The sequence below is a fragment of the Homo sapiens genome, chromosome 1 (assembly GCF_000001405.40).
Source record: "Homo sapiens chromosome 1, GRCh38.p14 Primary Assembly".
In the NCBI taxonomy this organism is placed as follows: Eukaryota; Metazoa; Chordata; class Mammalia; order Primates; family Hominidae; genus Homo; species Homo sapiens.
In genome coordinates this window covers 35,194,783-35,215,953 of record NC_000001.11, presented here as the reverse complement: position 1 = coordinate 35,215,953, position 21,171 = coordinate 35,194,783, and the positions used below count along the sequence as shown (strand labels likewise).

At 43.4% G+C, this 21,171-nt stretch overlaps 3 annotated features.

Moving 5' to 3' along the window:
* Positions 4,637-5,304: an enhancer, noted in NCBI's record as "H3K27ac-H3K4me1 hESC enhancer chr1:35676251-35676918 (GRCh37/hg19 assembly coordinates)". NCBI's record gives its function as "activates a minimal SCP1, AML or CMV promoter by ChIP-STARR-seq in naive H9 embryonic stem cells {active_cell/tissue: H9 hESC(naive)}" and the evidence as "EXISTENCE:reporter gene assay evidence [ECO:0000049][PMID:30033119]".
* Positions 5,372-5,666: a silencer, noted in NCBI's record as "tiled region #666; K562 Repressive non-DNase unmatched - State 23:Low". NCBI's record gives its function as "represses a minimal TATA promoter and a strong SV40 promoter by Sharpr-MPRA in K562 cells {active_cell/tissue: K562}" and the evidence as "EXISTENCE:reporter gene assay evidence [ECO:0000049][PMID:27701403]".
* Positions 13,728-13,907: an enhancer, noted in NCBI's record as "active region_725". NCBI's record gives its function as "activates an Ori minimal core promoter by ATAC-STARR-seq in GM12878 lymphoblastoid cells {active_cell/tissue: GM12878}" and the evidence as "EXISTENCE:reporter gene assay evidence [ECO:0000049][PMID:35858748]".

The window sequence follows — 21,171 nt, the reverse complement described above, 5'->3', positions numbered from 1 at the left end:
AGGATGGTCTCGATCTCCTGACCTCAGGATCCACCCGCCTCGGCCACCCAAAGTGCTGGGATTACAGGCATGAGCCACCGCGCCTGGCCACACTTTGAAAATTTTAGAATACAAATTGAAATGAAAAAAAAAAAATCACCCCAAACACCATAATTCAGCAATTTGCTATATCTGCATGTGTGCTTTAAATGAAAACTACCATACTGTATATACAATTTCTGTCTTATGTTAATTAAAATTTATCCTTAAGCATTTGTATATACATTCATTTCCTAGCTTTTCAAGAGGACCTGAAATCAATGACATATAACAGCAATTAATACAGTTGGTTTCCAAAAGGAACAGAGCCCCCTAGAGAAATGACCGATTCCAGAGTTGGGACAGAATGAGCCTGTGGATATTGTGTGCCAGACAGTAAATAGTGCTCAAAGAATGACGGCATAAGTCAAGAGGACACATGAGTTAGCTCGAACAGGCTCCACTGGCCAAATCTGGGACAACTTGAGAATCAACATCAATAGAAAGTGTAATGAAAAATAACACATTGAATAAAATAAGAAAGCAATTGTACCAGTTTACTCTTCCCTACACTCTTGCCAATACTAGATATTAGCAACAGTTTACTTTTTGCTAATCTAAAGGGTAAAAAGCAGTATCTTACTATTGTTATGGTTTTAGGAATTGCTATTTATTAAGCAGGAAAATTTATTGACCATATGTGTTTCTTCTTCAGTGAATTTTTGACTCCTATTACTTGCCAAATATTTCAACTGGGTTATTTGTAATTTTCTTATTAATATGTGAAAATTCATACACATTATGAAGACTACCTTTTTGTTTGCCATATGTTTATTTCAGGGGCAACTATAATGTAATGGTCAAGAGTATGAACCCTGGAACCAGACTGGATGAGTTCAAAACTGGGCTCCACCACTTAATAGCTATTTGATCTCTAGCAAAAGATTTAATCTTTTTTTTTTTTTTTTGGAGCCGAAGTTTCACTCTCCTCACCCGAGCTGGAATGCAATGGTGCAATCTCGGCTCACTGCAACCTCTGCCTCCCAGGTTCAAGTGATTCTCCTATCTCAGCCTCCCAAGTAACTGGGATTACACGCACCCACCACCATGCCTGGATAATTTTCATATTTTTAGTAGAGACAGGGTTTCACCATGTTGGCCAGGCTGGTCTTGAACTCCTGACCTTGTGATCCACCCGCCTCGGCCTCCCAAAGTGCTGGGATTACAGGCATGAGCCACCACACCTGGTCAAAGTATTTAATCTTGTTGTGCCTCCATTTCCTATCTATAAAAGGCAGATAATCATAATGCTTGCACCATAAGATCACTAGGATGCTTAAATGAGTTAAGACATGTAAATTGCTTAGAACAGAAATTGGCATGTATAAAGTGATAAATAATTGCTGGTTATTATGTTATTACTCTTCAGATAGAATGTCTAAAAAAATTTTTTTTTGTTTTGAAACAGAGTTTCGCTCTTGTTGCCCAGGCTGGAGAGCAATGAGGCAATCTTGGCTTACTGCAACCTCTGCCTCCTGGTTCAAGTGATTCTCGTGCCTCAGCCTTCCAAGTAGCTGAGATTACAGGTGCCTGCCACCACGCCCAGCTAATTTTTGTATTTTTAGTAGAGACGGGGTTTCACCATGTTGGGCAGGGCTGGTCTGAACTCCTGACCTCAGGTGATCCACCTGCCTCGGCCTTCCAAAGTGCTGGGATTACAGGTGTGAGCCACCGTGCCTGGCCCTACATTTTTTATGTAGTCAGATCTAGTGATCTTTTTCTTCATGGCTTCTTGATCTTCTCTTTTGTTAAGGAAGGTTTTATGAACCCCAAGAATAGAAAAATAAATGTTTCCTAATATCTCCTTCTAGCATTTGCATAGTTTGTTTTCTATGTTAGTATCTATAACAATATGCCAGGCATTCTGTTGGTTGCAGGGGATAGAAGGATGAGCAAGACAGAGGGGCCTGTTCTTGCCCCTCCTGGAGCTTACATTGTAGTGGGGTAACAGACAAAAAAACAAGAAACCGGGCGCAGTGGCTCACACTTGTAATCCCAGTACTTTGAGAGGCCAAGGCAGGTAGTTTATCTGAGGTCAGGAGTTCGAGACCAGCCTGGCCAACATGGTGAAAACCCATCTCTACCAAAAATACAAAAGTTAGCCGGGCGTGGTGGTGGGCACCTGTAATCCTAGCTACTTAGGAGGCTGAGGCAGGAGAATCCCTTGAACCCAGGAGGTGGAGGTTGCAGCGAGCCGAGATTGTGCCACTGCACTCCAGCCTGGGTGACAGAGTGAGACTCTGTCTCAAAAAACAAAAACAAAAGCAAACAAACAAACAAACAAAAAAACCCAAGAAAACAATCAGTAAAATGATAAATTCAGTAAGTGCCATGAAACAAAAACATTATAAACTTCTCTATATATTTATAATCTGTTACCTCCTCCCGAGAAAAGTCTCTCCCCAATCTAATGTAGGGAAAACAAATACAAAAGAAAAAAGGGAGAAGGCAATAAAGCTGTCCCAGCCACTTTTGGTACAGTTATATTCCTTTTCCTCCATTTTCTGTGGCCTGGGTATTATCTCCATGGTTCTGTGGCATTGTAGAGCTTTCCTGTAACCTTTTGACTGTGTCCTTGCCATTGTGCCCTTAACATACCTCTTAGGACTTAAAGGCTTCGGTGTGGAGCAAGAAGTGACAGCTGGCCTCTGCAAGAAGGATGAAGGCTGAAGAAAGGCCTGGACTGGCTCAAAGGGGATATCGGTGACTTCCAGAGTAACAACTACCGTAACATGTTTGAGACAAGGGCAAAATTTCAAGGCATTTGAGCTCGTCTTTAGTTGTGCTTGTGGACACTGCCAACCCTTCTAACCTCTGAATCAGTCCTTGTTCTCCTTCTTGAGGCCTGCTCTTCCTTCATTCAACTCTGCAGACATTCTCATTTCCACGAGTTGAAATATTTTCAAATCCAGAAATTGAGCCACTGCTGTTTCACCAAAAAAGTTCTGACCAGATGGGTTCATTTAGCCTCTTTCACTGATGAGAGGTACTTTACCCTTGTAAGATTAAGCATTCAGGTGACCAGATCGGAGAGTGGGATAAGGTTGCAATAGGGTTTAAATAGACTGGGAATGGCCAGGCACGGTGGCTCATGCCTGTAATCCCAGCAATTTGGGAGGCCAAGGCAGGTGGATCACCTGAGGTCAGGAGTTTGAGACCAGCCTGGCCAACATGGCGAAACCCTATCTCTACTAAAACTACAAAAATTGGCTAGGCGTGGTGGCACACACCCGTAATCCCAGCTACTTGGGAGGCTAAGGCAGGAGAATTGCTTGAACCCTGGGGGCGGAGGTGGCAGTGAGCTGAGATCATGCCACTTCACTCCAGCCTGGGCGACCGAACGAAACTCAGTCTCAATAAATAAAATAGACCGGGAATAATGGCTTCTCAGAATGATCTGGGATGTAAGTTCCAGTTGCCATCTATTTACTGGTGTTCAAGTCTACATTCCAGTAAAACAATAGCATGCATTTTTCCAGTATGTTTTATGTGCTATCTGCTGTTCTATGTGCTTTAAACAATCATTTAATCTTCCTGATGATAAAGGTAAATATTATCGGTATTCTTGCATTTCATATTGAAGAAACTGAAGCCCTGAGAGGTTAAGAGATTTAACAAAGCCAGGCTGGATATGGTGGCTCAGGCCTGCAATCCCAGCACTTTGGGAGGCTGAGCGGAGAGGATTGCTTGAGGTGGGAGGATTGCTTGAGGCCAGGAGTTTGAAACCAGCCATAACAAGGCCTCATCTCTACAAAACATTTTGAAATTAGCCGGGTGTGGTGATGCATACCTGTAGTCCTAACTGCTTGGAAAGCTGAGTAAGGATGATCCCTTGAACCCAGGAGTTTGAGACTACAGTGAGCTATAATTGCACCACTGCACTCCAGCCTGGGTGACAGAGTGAAAGAACTTGTCTCTAAAAAAAACAAAAGAAACACACACACACACACACACACACACACACACACACACACACACCCACCCACAGAGAGAGAGAGAGAGAGAGAAACAACAAAAAGGGAGACTTAACAAAACATTTACAACTAGTTAGTAACCGGCAGACCCAGGATTCAAAACCTAGACAATCTAGAGTCTACGCACCACTTTTTTTTTTTTTTTTTTGAGACAGCATTTCACTCTGTTGCCATGCTGGAATGCAGTGATGATGTGATCATAGCTCACTGCAGCCTTGACCTCCTGGGCTCAAGTGATCCTCCCAACTCAGCCTCTCAAGAGTAGCTAGGACTACAGGTGTACACCACCATGCTCGGCTAATCTTTAAAATTTTTGTAGAGACAGGATCTTGCTATGTTTCCCAGGCTGATCTTGAACTCTTGGGCTCAAGCAATCCCCCAGCCTCAGCCTCCCAAAGCACTGGGATTACAGACATGTGCCATCCTGCCTGGCCTTAGAGTCTCTGTCCTTCTTAATAGCTACGCTATATTGCCTCTCAAGAGTAAATTTGTTTTTATTGCCTGACATGTTTTTTGTTATTTATTTATTTTTTCTTTCATGACCAAGAAACTGGTTTCAGACATCTGGAGGTAGGCAATTCCTTGAGAATGTTGAGAGCATGAGAAAATAGCATAGGGGAATTTTCTTACAGAGTTGGATAAGAGATCCCAAGAAAAGAGGTGGGAGGTGCTAAAGTTTTAGAAATAAGGGTTTTGAGCTTTTTTCAGAATCAAGGATTTCAGACTTGTGAGGCTGAGGTAATTTTCTGAAAAAAACTTGTTAACTCGGGGGAGACAGAGGGAGTAAAAGAGGCCATTCTCCCCAGAGTAGGCAACAGTGGGAAGGCATTTGGAAAGAAGGCAGTGGCCGGTGGTGGACGGGTGCTGAAATGATGGCCCAAAGGGGTTGCTGCGGGATTTAATCCAGCGTTATGAATATGCTGTTCATAGTTTTGGCCATTAACTCCAGATAATGGAGGCCAGCTGCAGAGAAGAGAGGGCGCAGGCTGTTTAACTTTGTGCAGTGGATTACCGGGCTGCTGCAGAAGCATCAGATCCTCACTCCCAGGTGGGCTCTGAAGAGGCAGCAGGCACGTGGCTTGTGGTCTAAATTCAGCACGCAGTACAAAGGCAGTGGGGGAGGGCTGCAAGGTGGGCGATGCCGGACTGCAGAGGAGGTACTGGCAACCTCAGAATCTGGCTTACATCGGCGTTCGTAGGAAAATCTCTCCACTTACCCTTCTGGTTTCTTTCTCCTTCTCATCATCTTTCACTCTCTGCCTCAGATGTGTGTCTGTTTAAAAGACAGTCTCCTCTGTCAGACTCAGCCCTTGCTGTCAGCCATCCGCCAGGCCTGGTGAATCCTGAGTCCTGTTTCCAGGCTTGGTCTTGTTGGGGTGGCTCATAAGAAGCTCCGGGGGGAGGAGGAGGATGCACTTAGCAGGGTCTATTGGTGTCCACATAGAGGACTGGGAAAAAATGCAGCTGCCTGGGGTGGGGGATTGGCCCCAGGCCTCCCTGATGACTCCCTCCCTGGGCCCTCCCTCCTGTGAGTGGCATTCCTTGAATGAACTCCAAGGAGAATGTATTTACATCCGTAAGGTCAGACTATCAGAGAGGGCTTCATTAAGCACAGGAACAAAACACACGACTTTCCCTTCAACTAATGCACCATTGCTTAGCCAAAGACATCAGAGTACTTTACATTGACCTCATGTATTCTGACTCCATGAGAATTTTACAAGTGAAGGAAACTCAGCCTCCAGATTTGTGTTTCCATCTCTTTTGCTTATTAGAAAGGAACACATTTACTGAGCACCTAAAATTGGCCAGGTCCTGGGGATACATGTTTTCTTATTCTATCCTTGTTAATCCTCACAACAATGCCACAAGGGAGTCATGATTGCCCCCGTTTTTAGGTGACGAAACTCTGAGAGAAGCAACTTACTATGGTTACACAGCTATAATGATGAGGCTGGGATTCAAATCCAGGCCTATAAAGATTCTAAAATGCAGCCAGGTGTGGTGGGTCACACCTGTCATCCCAGCACTTTGGGAGGCTGAGGCTGGTGGATCGCTTGAGCTCAGGAGTTTGAGATCAGCCTAGGCAACATGGTGAAACCCTGTCTCTACAAAAAATACAAAACTTAGCTGGACATGGTGGCATGCACCTGTAGTCCCAGCTACTCAGGAGGCTGAGATTGCAGCGAGCCAAGATTGCACCATTGCACTCCAGCCTGGGCCACAGAGTGAGACTCTGTCTCAAAAAAAAAAAAAAAAAAGTCACCAGAAAAGAAAATAAAAAAGACTCTAAAATGCACACTTTTTTCAACATACTTCACTTTATTTAACAGTCATGAAACATTCATCAAGCACCTAAGATATGAATTCACAGATGAAAAACGTGATCCCGGGCTGAGCATGGTGGCTCACACCTGTAATCCCAGCACTTTGGGAGGCTGAGATGGGTGGATCTCTTGAGGTCAGTAGTTCGAGACCAGCCTGACCAACATGGTGAAACCTCATCTCTACTAAAAATACAAAAATTAGCCAGGTGCAGTAGCAGGCATCTGTAATCCCAGCTACTCGGGAGGCTGAAGCAGGAAATCGCTTGAACCCGAGAGGCAGAGGTTGCAGTGAGCCGAGATGGTGCCACTGCACTCCAGCCTGGGCAACAGAGCGAGACTCCATCTCAAAAAAAAAAAAAAAAAAAAGATAAACGTGATCTCTGCCTTCAGAGAACTCACAACCATGTGGAGGAAACACACAAGTAAGCAGACAATTGAAACAGAATGTAGAGTGGTAAGTATAGTGACAAACAAAGAACAGGAGATTTAGGAGCCCAAAGGAGAAATTATGGGCTCTGCCCAAGGAAGTCCCAGGAAGGCGGCCTTTAATCAACCCATGCCCACTGCATTCCTGGTCACATGAGCATGGAGGTGCTGAAGAAAAAATAGCTGACATTTCTTGGCGGGCATTTTACTAAATATGCATTATTTCACTTAATCCTCACAACCTTGATCCTGAATAGGGCAATGAAGGATGGCAAAAGGATTTATAGGCATGCCCCCTGTGTTAGTAAGGTGCTCATGGAGCCCAAGGTAGGTTATTCAATAATAATGAGAGCCTTGAAGAGTGGCAGTAAGCCTGGAGCTAAGTCCTCAGTCTGGGCCTGTCTGGGGGGAAGCAGGTGAGACGAGGCTCTTTTACTGTGTTTACTGCAGTGCCAGTGTCCAACCTGGCTTCCACCACAGTGTCTTATCCCCTTTGTGGTCTGAAGAATATTGAAAGCTAATCCTGCTTGCCCCAAACACTCCCCTGCAGTGCACAGAATGCCTGCCAAAAACCAACCAGACTAGGTGATTTTGCCTGCTTGGCCCTGACCTTCCAGATTGTTTCCTTGTCTTCTCAGGAAATATCACTCATGCCATGCTTCCATTGTGTTCTTCTCTGCTTAAGCAGGTGAGATTATATCTGTCTATCTATCTATCTATATAACATGTATTATTATATATTATATATTATACATATATACATATATATTATACATATACAATACATATATTTTTATATATAATATATGTATTTTTATGTTTTATATATATAGTCTCACCTGCTTAAGCAGAGAAGAACCCAACGGAAGCATGGCATGAGTGATATATATATGTATTGTGTATATATATATATATATATATATATATATATATATATTTTTTTTTTTTTTTTTTTTTTTTTTTTTGAGATGGAGTCTTGCTCTGTCACCCAGGCAGGAGTGCAGTGGCATGATCTCAGCTCATTGCAACCTCCACCTCCTGGGTTCAAGCGATTCTCCCACCTCAGCCTCCTGAGTAGCTGGGATTACAGGCACTCACCATCATGCCCGGCTAATTTGTGTATTTTTGTAGAGACGGGGTTTCACCGTGTTGGCCAGGATGGTCTTGAACTCCTGACATCAGGTGATCCACCTGCCTCAGGCTCCCAAAGTGCTGGGATTACAGGCGCCTGCCACCATGCCCAGCTAATTACAAGTTTATTTTATTTTATTTTATTTTATCTTATTTATTTATTTGGCACAGAGTCTCACTCTGTTGCCCAGGCTGGAGTGCAGTGGCATGATCTTGGCTCACTGCAACCTCTGCCTCCCGGGTTCAAGCAATTCTCCTGCCTCAGCCTTCCGAATAGCTGGGACTACAGGCGTGAGGCACCACACCCGGCCAAAAGTTTATTTTATTTTCTTATTTTATTTTATTTTCTTATTTTATTTTATTTACAGGCATGAGCCACCACACCCAACCAAAATAATTTATTTTAGATTAGCATATAGTTAAAGGCAACATTATACAGTTGTATTTATAAAGCTTTTTTCTTTTCTTTGCCAGACGTGGTGGTTCACGCCTGTTATCCTAGCACTTTGGGAGGCCGAGGTGGTCAGATTGCCCGAGCTCAGGAGCTCGAGACCAGCCTGGGCAACATGGTGAAACCCTGTATCTACTAAAATGCAAAAAAAAAAAAAAAAAAATTAGCCAAACGTGGTGGTGTGTGCCTGTAGTCCCAGCTACTCGGGAGGCTGAGGCAGGAGAATTGCTTGAACCCGGGAGGCAGAGGTTGCAGTGAGCTGAGATGGGGCCACTGCACTCCAGCTTGGCGACAGAGCGAGACTCCGCCTCAAAAAAACAAAAACAAAAACAAAAAAACTTCTTTTTTTATTAGTTTTTTTTTTTTTTGAGACGGAGTCTCGCTCTGTCGTCCAAGCTGGAGTGCAGTGGCATGATCTTGGCTCACTGCAAGCTCCGCCTCCCTGGTTCATGCCATTCTCCTGCTTCAGCCTCCCGAGTAGCTGGAACTACAGGTGCCCGCCACCACGCCTGGCTAATTTTTTGTGTGTTTTTAGTAGAGACGGGGTCTCACCGTGTTAGCCAGGATGGTCTCGATCTCCTGACCTCATGATCCGCCCACCTTGGCTTCCCAAAGTGCTGGTATTACAGGCGTGAGCCACGGCACCTGGCCTTTTTTTTTTTTTTGAACTAGAGTTTTGCTTTATCACCCAGGCTGGAGTGCAGTGGTGCCATCTCAGCTCACTGCAACTTCCGCCTCCCGGGATCAAGCAGTTCTTTTGCCTCAGCCTCCCAAGTCGCTGGGATTACAGGCATGCACCACCACGCCTGGCTAACTCTTGTATTTTTAGTAGAGACGGGGTTTCACCATGTTGGCCAGAATGGTCTTGAACTCCTGACCTCAGTTAATCTGCCCACCTCTGCCTTCCAAAGTGCTAGGATTACAGACGCAAGCCACTGTGCCTGGCCTGTATTTATAAATCTTTAATAACACTCATAAACTGTAATTTTTTACACTTGCCCATTTAATTAGTGATACATGTTTAATTTCAATAAATCATGTAACAAAAACATCTATATATATATTTGTGTGTATGTATATATATGTGTGTGTGTATGTGTGTGTGTGTGTGTGTGTGTATTTTGAGACAGGGTCTCACTGTGTTACCCAGGCTGGAGTGCAGTGGTGTGATCTTGGCTCACTGCAGCCTCAACCTCTTGGGGTCATGTTGATATGGACCAGAGGCAGGGAAATACTGGGTAGAAGAGGGTGGTTCCCCGCAAAAGCCCCACCCACAAGCCTGGGGCTGCAGCCCTAAATAAGAGCTTTACATCTCTCTTTTCCCACCCACACGTTGCTTTTTCCAAAACCACCCTGGCTTGCCATGCCCACCATCCTGTATGCATAAAAACCCCAAACTCCACTGGCAGAGGAGCAGAGTAGCATGGCAGAGAAGGAGAGAAGAGAAGAAGCGTCTGAATGTTGAAGAGACAGCTGGACTATCAGAAAGGAGGTCAGCTGGGGATGGCTGAAATCCAGGGGAAGATTATTTTCCCACTCCACACCCTTTCTAGCTCCCTGTCCCACTGACAGCCACCTCTATCACTCAATGAAACCTCCACATTCACCATCCTTCAAGTCCATGTGGCCAGATTCTTCTTGGGCACCAGAAAAGGACCTGGGTACCAAGAAGGAAAGGTGTAAAAGGCTGTCACCCTGACTCTCCACTGAGCTGGTTAACACTTAGCTGTCTGCAGACAGAAACTGCTAAAAGAACATTAATTGTAGCATACCCTTAGATGCTACCATGGAGATGGAGCCCAAAAGCTCTCGTCAGAGCCCCAGCACCCACTTGCCTGCATGCTCCCCCTCCCACAAAGGGTTTCAGGATGGCAGCCGAGTAAGTGAGCCACACTCCTGTTGCAAGTCCTGTGAAGTGGTCCAGGGGGCTCTCCTGTCTTAAAGCAAGCCTCCCACCTCAGCCTCCCCAGTAGCTGGGACTACAGGCACATGCCATGACTCTCGGTTAAATTTTGTATTTTTTGTAGAGATAGGGGTTTCGCCATGTTGCCCAGGTTGGTCTTGAACTGGCTTCAAGCGATCCACCTGCTTCAGCCTCCCAAAGTGCTAGGATTACAGGCATGAGCCACCACACATGACCTACAAAAAATATTATTTTTCCATCAATCCATTTAAAAGTGGTATGTGGCCCAAGCATGGTGGCTCACGCCTGTAATCCCAGCACTTTGGGAGACCAAGGCGGGTGGATCACCTGAGGTCAGGAATTTGAGACCAGCCTGGCCAACATGGTGAAACGCTGTCTCTACTAAAAATACAAAAAATCAGCAGGGCATGGTGGCACACGCCTGTAGTTCCAGCTACTCAGGAGACTGAGGCAGGAGAATCGCTTGAACCTGGCAGGCAGAGGTTGTAATGAGCCATGATCTGTCACCCAGGCTGGAGTACAGTGGCACGATCTCAGCTCACTGCAATCTCTGCCTCCTGGGCTCAAGAGATTCTCCTGCCTCAGCCTCCTGAATAGTTGGGATTACAGGCCTGTGCCACATACCCAGCTCATTTTTGTATTTTTAGTAGAGACAGGGTTTCACCATGTTGGCCAGGCTGGTCTGCAACTCCTGACCTCAGGTGATCCGCCCACCTCAGCCTCCCAAAGTGCTGGTATTACAGGAATGAGCCACTGCGCCCAGCCTCATATGTTGAAATTTAAACAGATCGAGAAATGAGCCCAGAGTGAAATAAATAAATAAAAAAATAAATATAAATAAGTTTTTATTAATTTATTTTTTTGAGATAGAGTCCCGCTGTGTTCCCCAGGCTGGAGTGCGGTGGCTGGATCTCAGCTCACTGTAACCTCTGCCTCCCAGGTTCAAACAATTCTCCTCCTCAGCCTCCCAAGTAGCTGTGATTACAGGCGTGCGCCACCACACCTGGCTGTTTTTTTAAATTTTTAGTAGAGACGAGGTTTCACCATGTTGGCCAGGCTGGTCTTGGACTCCTGACCTCAAGTGATCCACCTCCCAAAATGCTGGGATTACAGGCATGAGCCACCACGCCTGGCCAATAAAAAGAAATTTAAACAGATATAACTATACATCAAAAAGATAATTCATAATTGGGTATTTGGGATTCTTCCATTTTATTTGTTAATGAATTCTTGCATTTTATTTTCAATTACTGTATTTACAATGTATTTATAATTAGTGGACTTAAGAGAACATATTTTGTTTGTAAGAGATAGACACATTTTGGGGCTACTATTTGTATGTACTTTCCAAATAACATTTGTGAGCATAGGTAATCTTTATCCCCCCATAAATGAATAAGAAGTCCAACTGGATATAGTTATCCCTATGGACAGGATAACTTGCTGTTTAAAGGTCTGGATATGGACTATGCAGGTGTAAATCTTGGTTCTATCACTTCATAACTATGTGACTCTCGGTGACTTAATCCCTTATCTTAAAAAAAGGGGGTGAAATAAGAAAAATAAATAATTACGGGGTTGTGAAAATTAAATGAGTTAATGCACGTAAAGCCCACACACGTAAAATCCATTTTAGAAAATCTAGAAATTGCAGAAAAATAGGAAACCAGAAATCATCCAACCTTAGTAACTTAATGGACAGTGGCTAATCCCAATGGTGCTTTTGTACAAATTAGAAAAACTGGCCCTTCCTCAAGATACTTGACTGCTATCAGCCAGAAAGCTGTCTTAGTGGGGGGGGGGGGGGGCACTATTTATTAATTATACTGGGATATCAAACATAAACTAAGATTGTCTTAAGCAAAAGAAGACCTTGCCTCTGGATGACAATGTAGACAATGTAGGATGTTTTTGATTTAATGCTATTAGTAATCATGTGGAGATGAACAAATTTATACATAAAATTTTTCTGTATTTAGAATTTAGGCTAGATTCCAGCACCTGGCAGGCACACAGAGGGTATTTGTTAAATAAATGAATGAATGAAAGCGGGGAGGATGCAGAGAGGGAGGGAGAGGGGGAGGGAAAAGGAGAGAGAGAGGGAGAAAATGAATTTGCCAAATTATTTTTCAAAAGAATTATGTCAGTAGTGGCTGTTTAAATTTGTGTTAACTTAGATGAAAAATAGTCTCTCATTTTTATTTCTAGTTCTGTAATTATCATCAGAGGATGAATATTTTCCATGTGTTAGTTCATTTATTTTGGCTATTAATTGGGATCTTGATTATTTTTCTTATAAAATTGTACACATCCTTTACATAGGAAAGATATTAACCACTTATTATAATTTTTTCTTGCAATTATTTTTTCAATTTAACTTTTAATTTTTATTATCGTCTTGGTTTTTAACCTGGTGGTTTCTAATCTTCATGCAGGGAAATTTACTAATATTTTGTTTTGTGATTTATTCTATCAGAGTAAATCTTAAAAATTGCCCTTCCTGACAAAGATCTGATATTCACTTCTATTTTCTTCTCATTCTTTCTGGGTTTGTTTAAAAAATACACATATTTCTTTTATCCATCTAGAATCAGTTTGATTATATATATATACATATATACATATATATACACATATATATACATATATACATATATACATATATACATATATATACATATATACATATATATACATATATACATATATATACATATATATACATATATAGCAAATTAAATACTCTAATACCATTTGTTGAATATTTCTTTCCTTTCTCATTAATTTCTGAAGTACACTTATGGTAAAAATTTATACCTACCTCTGAGCTATCTTCCTCCATTTGATGAGTCTTTAAACTCCATTTTTTTTTTTTTTACCTTTAAAATCAGTTCAAGTGGTAAACTTAGGGGCAGCTGAAAATAAATGCCTTCAAGACTAAAGTAACTGTGTGGAAAAAACCTGGAAAGATATTTAGTTCAGTGTGGGGGTGACAGGTGATGAATATGGGGTCGCTCATCATGACTAAGGAAGACCTCTCCCCATCCCCCAACACAATAAAGAAATAAATTAGATGGAGAAATAATTAAATAAATAAAGGTACTACAAACAGAGCACGTTTTCCCTAAATAAAGGAAGGCAGTAACAGAGGAAGACACTGCAGTTAATCCAATGTTTCTCTCATTAAGAGAGGCAATCTAGATACTGATTAGATCTACTGGAAAATTTACCCAGGTATTGAAATCAACCCTTCCAAAAGGTTCTTTGCTTGGAGGCTCAATAACAATAGAGTAATGGAGTGTATGCCGCTATTTGCTTTCCAAGGAGATGGAGGAAGTGGCACAGCCACTGAGACACCTAGTGGTGAGGGTTTTACTGCACGGTTAGAGTTTGCCAGTTGGGCTCATCTAAGAGCCACTTCCTTGGGGGAGGCAGTGTGCATTTGAGGAGCTTAGATGTCCTTCTTTTAGCTCTCCTTTTCTGCCCCCAGCAAAATAATTTGAGCTCTCTATTGTGTGCATGAAGCCTCAGAGACAAGCGCTGATAGATCTGAAAACTGAATAGCCTCTTCAAAGTTGGAAAAGAGAACTACGAAGCTAAATTAACACCTGCTGACCAACATGGTTTCTCAAGCCCTGGGGGACAGCTGAAGATGTAAATTTAGTCAATTGAATTAATATTCATTAGAGAGCGGCAGCGTGTTTCATCAAGCATATTATTTCCATCCCCTACCCTTCTAGGCCTTATAAATACTCAAACAAGAGGATAATTATAATTTTCATTTTATTGTAATTATAGTGTTTGAACTGTAAGTTCACCCACATTCAGAGTATTACAAGGTAAAGATTGTTCTACATATTATTCAGGCATGATAATTGACCACAGATGTGAACTACAGAGTTGTGTTTAATATCTGAAATTTGTCATTTATGTTGAGGACATTCTTCAATGGTTCAGAAAAGGAAAGATTAATGGGCTCATTCACTTATTCATTTGTTCAAATATAGAGTATCACAGCACTAGGCCCTGAGGATTTGGTGCTTAAAAGAGAATCTCAGTCATTGTCCTCATGATCTTACAGGCTAAAGTGTACAATTTTGCAAGTCTCTATAATAAAGTGGGATGAATACTATAGGAGTGAAAGTACAGGATGCTAATGAAATGCAGCAACTTGGTCCTTGGGGTCACAGAAGGCCTCCAGAGAAGGGCAAGTGTAAGTCAAGTCCTGAAAGATGGATAAGAGCTAACCATAAAGGAGGGAGACGGTGACCAGGAAGATACTATTTCAGGTGAGAACGTGAGAAGTTAAAAGAACTAAAGGCAGTCAGTGTGACTACAGCAAAGAATTCAGGAGTCAGGGATGAGGCTGGGGAGGAATGCGATGGCCAGGGAATGGAGGGACATCATAGGAGTTAAGGAGGTTGTTTTTTCTCCTAAGGGCAATAGGAAGACAATAAGGAATTTAAAAGAGGGGAACTGAAGCATCAGATTTGCCTTTAAAAATGATAATTTGCTTGCTGCCTGGAAAATAGGAAGGAGGAAGGCAATTGGGATGACCAGTCAGAAAGCTTTTGCAGAAGTCTAGGTGAGAAATCATGTTACATTGTTAGTTTCCAGTGTGTATCCTGGATGTAATAAAACAACGTTAGCTTGGCTGGGCATAGTGACCTGTGCCTGTAGACTCAGGAGGCTGAGGTGGGAGGATCACTTGAGCACAGAAGTTTGAGACCAGCCTGGGCAACATAATGAGACTCCACCTCTCAAGAAATAAAAAAGAGAGAGAAAGAATAATGTTACCTTGGATTACAGTAATGGTGGTTTTTTAATCTGAAAGATGAGCAAATAATACTATAAATCTCAGAGTTGTAATAAGAATTCAATATTAAGGCCGAGTACAGTGGCTCACGGCTATAATCCCAGCACTTTGGGAGGCCAAGGTGGGTGGATCACCTGATGTCAGGAGTTCGAGACCAGCCTGGCCAACATGATGAAACCCTGTCTCTACTAAAAATACAAAAATTAGGTGGGCCTGGTGGTAGGTACCTGTAGTCCCAGGTACTTGGGAGGCTGAGGCAGGAGAATTGCTTGAACCCAGGAGGCGGAGGTTGCAGTGAGCCAAGATCGCAATACTGCACTCCAGCCTGGGCGACAGAGCAAGACTCCATCTCAACAAAACAAAACAAAACAAAACAATACCAAAAACAAAAACACAATTCAATATTAAGTATTTACTACATTGTATGGCATAAACTAAATGATCAGTTGATTTTGGCTATTTTGATACTGGCTATTATTTGAAGTAGATATTACTCACAGTATTAAATAATTACTCTTTTGGTACACATACCAAACTTTTAACTTTTATTTAGAGACAGAATCTTGCTCTGTCACCCAGGATAGAGTTTAGTGGCACCATCACAACTCACTGCAACCTCCAACTCCTGGGTCCTGGCTTCAAGAGATCCCTCCACTTCAGTCTCCCAAGTAGCTAGGACTACAGGCACCTGCCACCACGCCCAGATAACTTCTTCTTATTACTTTTTTAGATATGGGGTCTTGCTATGTTGCCCAGGCTGGTCTCAAACTCCTGGCCTGAAGTGGTCCTCCTGTCTCAGCCTTTTGAATAGCTGGGATTACAGGCTCAAACCAGTGCACCTGGCTTTACTGAGCACTTAGAAAGTACTAAACACTTCACACGATCCTCACAATGTCCCCAAAAAGCAAGTGTGTCAGAAAAGTGAAAGATCTTGGGACAATACCCTGCTCAGATGGAAACAGCCTGTTCTTCACCATTATGCTTTTATTTATTCATTCACTCAACAAATGTTTATTTCTGTGCTAGTGTCTGTTTTAGGTGCCAGTGATACAGCCTTAAAGAAGTCAGAGTTTCAGTCCAACAGAGGAGACAGACAATGGACAAATGAAGAAATAGGCTGCATGCGGTGGCTCATGCCTGTAATTCCAGCACTTTGGGAGGCTGAGGCTGGCAGGTCACTTAAGGTCAGGAGTTTGAGATCAGCCTGGCCAACATGGTGAAATCCCATTTCCACTAAAAATACAAAAATTAGCTGGGTGTGTGAGCCAAGATCGTGCCACTGCACTCCAGCCTGGGTGACACAGTGAGAATCTGTCTCAAAAAAAAAAAAAAAAAAAAAAGAAAAAAAAGAAAAAAGAAAGAGAAAAAAGAAATAAACAAGAAAACACAAGTTGTGAAGACAGCTATAATGTATATTACATACAGGATGTTATAACAGAGAGGAGGAGCCTACTTTGGATGTGATGATGAGCACAGAAGACTTCTCTGAGGTGATTTTCAAGCTCAGATAGAAGGATGAAGAGATCATTCCATAAAGCAGCGAAGGAAAAAAAAAGATTAAGAAAAGATATCTGTGCAAAGAGCCGGGGCGGGGCGAGTGGGGAGAACACTGCAGGCTGAGTAAAGAGCAAGTGCAAATGCCCTGAGGCAAAACATACAGGTAAAGTAACTTGATAAATCTTAAGAATAGCTAGCGCCGGTGGCTCACGCCTGTAATCCCAGCACTTTGGGAGGCCGAGGCGGGCAGATCACAAGGTCAGGAGATCAAGTCCATCCTGGCTAACGCGGTGAAACCCTGTTTCTACTAAAAATACAAAAAATTAGCTGGGCGTGCTGGTGGGTACCTGTAGTCCCAGCTACTTGTGAGGCTGAGGCAGGAGAATGGCGTGAACCCGGGAGGCGGAGCTTGCAGTGAACCGAGGTCGTGCCACTGCACTCCAGCCTGGGCGACAGAGTGAGACTCCATCTCAGAAAAAAAAAAAAAAAAAAAAAAAAAAAAAAAAAAAAAAATAGCTAGGGCTTAGTGCAAATAGAGTAGGGAATTAGGGAGGTAAGACTGGGAAGGCAGGCAGGGGTCAGACCAAGTCAGGACGTGTAGACCTTGCTAAGGTATTTGGATTTTATTCTAACAACAATGGGAAGCCATTGAGGGCCTTTAAATAGGGGAAACAAATTACATTATTTGATTTTTTTTTTTTGAGTGAGCTGAGATCGCTCTATTGCACTCCAGCCTAGGTGACAGAGTGAGACTCCATCTCAAAAAGAAAAAATAAATAGATAAATAAACAAATAACACTCTAGCTGCCATGTGAAGAATGGATCAGAAGACCGAAATATTAGTGGTTGCAGGACTTTACGTGAGACATAGAGATGGAGAAGATTAGGATGTAGTGGTAGAGGGGGAGGATTCAAGATATACTTTGGAGGTAGAACCAATCTTTGGATTTTTATAAAGAGGACCAATTCTAGGTTTTTGTTTTGAACAACCAGGTGGTACTATTTACTATGCTGGGAGAGTTTGAGGGAAGGAATAGGTTCAGTTGATAAAATCAATAGCTCCAAGTTGGACATATTAAATCTGATATATCGGTCAGACGTAGTGGCTCATGCCTGTATTCCCAACACTTTGGGAGGGTGAGGTGGGAGGATCACTTGAGGTCAGGAGTTCGAGACCAGGAGCTCAATTACAGGCTCAAACCAGTGCACCTGGCTTTACTGAGCACTTAGAAAGTACTAAACATTTCACACAATCCTTACAATGTCCCCAAAAAGCAAGTGTGTCAGAAAAGTGAAAGATCTTGGAACAATACCCTGCTCAGATGGAAACAGCCTGTTCTTCACCATTATGCTTTTATTTATTCATTCACTCAACAAATGTTTATTATCTCTGTGCTAGTGTCTGTTTTAGGTGCCAGTGATACAGCCTTAAAGAACTCAGAGTTTCAGTCCAACAGAGGAGACAGACAATAGACAAGTGAAGAAACAGGCTGCATGCTGTGGCTCATGCCTGTAATTCCAGCACTTTGGGAGGCTGTTCGAGGTCAGGAGTTTGAGACCAGCCTAGCCGACACGGCAAAAACCCGTCTCTATTAAAAAAAAAAAAAAATTAGCGTGGTGGCACGTGCCTGTAGTCCCAGCTACTCGGGAGGCTGAGGCAGGAGAATCACTTGAACCCATGAGGTGGAGGTTTCAGTGAGCGGAGATCACGCCACTGCATTCCAGCCTGGGCGACAGGGTGAGACTCCGTCTCAAAAAAAAAAAAAAAAAAAATCTGATACATCAACTAAGTAGTCTCCAGGCGGCTATGTCTAATAAACAGCTGGATATCTCAGAACTGGGTCCTTTTTTTTTTTTTTTTTTGAGACGGAATCTCGCTCTGTCGCCCAGGCTGGAGTGCAGTGGCGCGATCTCGGCTCTGCAAGCTCCGCCTCCCAGGTTCACGTCATTCTTCTGCCTCAGCCTCCCAAGTACCTGGGACTACAAGCGCCCGCCATCACGTCTGGCTAAGTTTTTGTATTTTTAGTAGAGACGAGGTTTCACCGTGTTGGCCAGGAAGGTCTCGATCTCCTGACCTCGTGATCCGCCTGCCTCGGCCTCCCAAAGTAGTGGGATTACAGGCGTGAGCCACTGCGCCCGGCGAGAACTGAGTCCTAAAATATTTCAATGTTTGGAGGTCCTACAAGGAGGAAATGGGATGATCAGTGAGGCAGGAAGAGAAAAATCCTGAGTGTGGTGTCACAGAATGCCAGTGAAGAAAAAGTGCTTCAAAAAAGACAGATTACTATATATGTTGAATGTTGCTAACAGGTAAAAAAAAGATGACTATAGATAAGTGTTTACTGGATTTGGCAACATGGAAATCATTGGTATCCTCCCCAACAGTTTAGGAGGAGTAGTGTGGACAGACTGGGGTGGATTGAAGAGGAAAGAGAAGTGAGGAAATGGAGACTGTGAGTGTAGACAACTTGTTTTAAAAGTGTTGTTACAAACATGGCCGGGTGCGGTGGCTCACCCCCATAACCCTAGCACTTCAGGAGGCTTAGGCGGGTGGATCACTTGAGGCCAGGAGTTTGAGACCAGCCAGGCCAACATAGCAAAACCCTGTCTCTGTTAAAAATACAAAAAAAAAATTAGCTGGGTATGGTGGCACATGCCTGTAATCCCAGCTACTCAGGAGGCTGAAGTAGGAGAATCGCTTGAACCCAAAAGGCAGAAGTTGCAGTGAGCCAAGATCGGCCACTGCACTCCAGCCTGGGGTATAGAGCAAGGCTCCGTCTCAAAAAAAAAAAAAAAAAAAAAAGCCAGGCGTGGTGGCTTATGCCTGTAATCCCAGCACTTTGGGATGCTGAGGCAGGCGGATCATGAGGTCAGGAGTTTGAGACCAGCCTGGCCATACGATGAAACCCTATTTCTACTAAAAATACAAAAATTAGCCAGGCATGGTGGCACGTGCCTGTGGTCCCATCTATTCAGGAGGCTGAGGCAGGAGAATCACTTGAACCCAGGAGGCGGAGGTTGCAGTGAGGCAAGCTGATGCCACTGCACTCCAGCCAGGATTTTTTGAGACAGAGTGAGACTCTGTCGCAAAAAAAAAAAAAAAAAAAGTTTTGTTACAAAAAGGAGCAAAGATGAGATAGCATAAAAGAAACGGGATGGTGATGATTCAATAGAAGTAATTGATAGACTAAAGAAAAATTCTGGTGAAGGCTTGTGTAGATGGAATCCATAGCACAAGAAGAGGATTTGCTTTTTTTTTTTTTTTAAATAGTGCCAGTCAAGTGGGAATGGAGAAGGAACAAATAAATCTGTAACTGGTTGTGATCAATTAGTTGTAAACACCGCCGCACTCAGACCAGCCATGGGTTTGCCCTTTGATAAGGGCAAAGACACATTTTTCGTGGTATCAGGGAAAAAGATTTAAAAAGACAAGGCAAATTTAAGTAGGCTCATGGCTTTTCCAGTTGGGTTGGAAAGTTCCTCTCCGATGACTGTTATATTCTCAAAGAAATATGAGGAGAGGGGCAGGGCATGGTGGCTCACATCCGTAATCCTAGCACTTTGGGAGGCTGAGGCGGGTGGATCATCTGAGGTCAGGATTTCAAGACCAGCCTGGCCAATATGGTGAAACCCCCGCCTCTATTAAAAATAAAAAAATTAGCCGGGCGTGATGGCACGTGCCTGTAGTCCCAGCTACTCGGGAGGCTGAGGCAGCAGAATAGCTTGAACCTGGGAGGTGGAGGTTGCAGTGAGCCGAGATTGCACCACTGCACTGCAGCCTGGGTGACAGAGCGAGACTCCGTCTCAAAAAAAAAAAAATAATGAAAGGAATCATGAGGTTACTATGTTATGTGAGTCAGAAAGAAAAGGGATGATCAGTAAGAGGCATGCTTGAACTAAAGATTTCAGAGATAGTGCAGTTACTGGTAATAACAATCAGGAGTGAGTGTGATGAGGGGAGGATGGGAGACTGGATGGTGATACAGGGTAGAAGAAAATACTAATGGAGGAGGTAAGGAACTGAGCCATTAGGGTGTTGGGTGGGTCATCTGCCTGGATCTTTTTTTGGTTTTTATGAGACGGAGTCTCACTCTGTGCCCAGGCTGGAGTGCAATGGTGTGATCTCGGCTCACTGCAATCTCTGCCTCCTGGGTTCAAGCGATTCTCCTGCCTCGGCCTCCCGAGTAGCTGGGATTACAGGTGCATGCCACCACGCCCTGCTAATTTTTGTATCTTTACTAGAGAGGGGGTTTTGTCATGTTGGACAGGCTGGTCTCGAACTCCTGACCTCAAGTGACCCTACTGCCTCAGCCTTGGGTCCCAAAGTGTTGGGATTACAGCCGTGAGCCACCGCACCCGGTCCCGCCTGGATCTTGAATGAAGAGAGTTAGATGCAGAAAAGAAGATAGAAGCTATGAGCTAATGTTGAGGGAGGAATTATTCCGCAAAAGGTCTGTGGACCTCAAAGAAACTGGAGATTGTGAAATACAGGCTGGGCGTGGTTGCTCACTCCCATAATCCCAGCACTTTGGGAGGCCTAGGTGGGT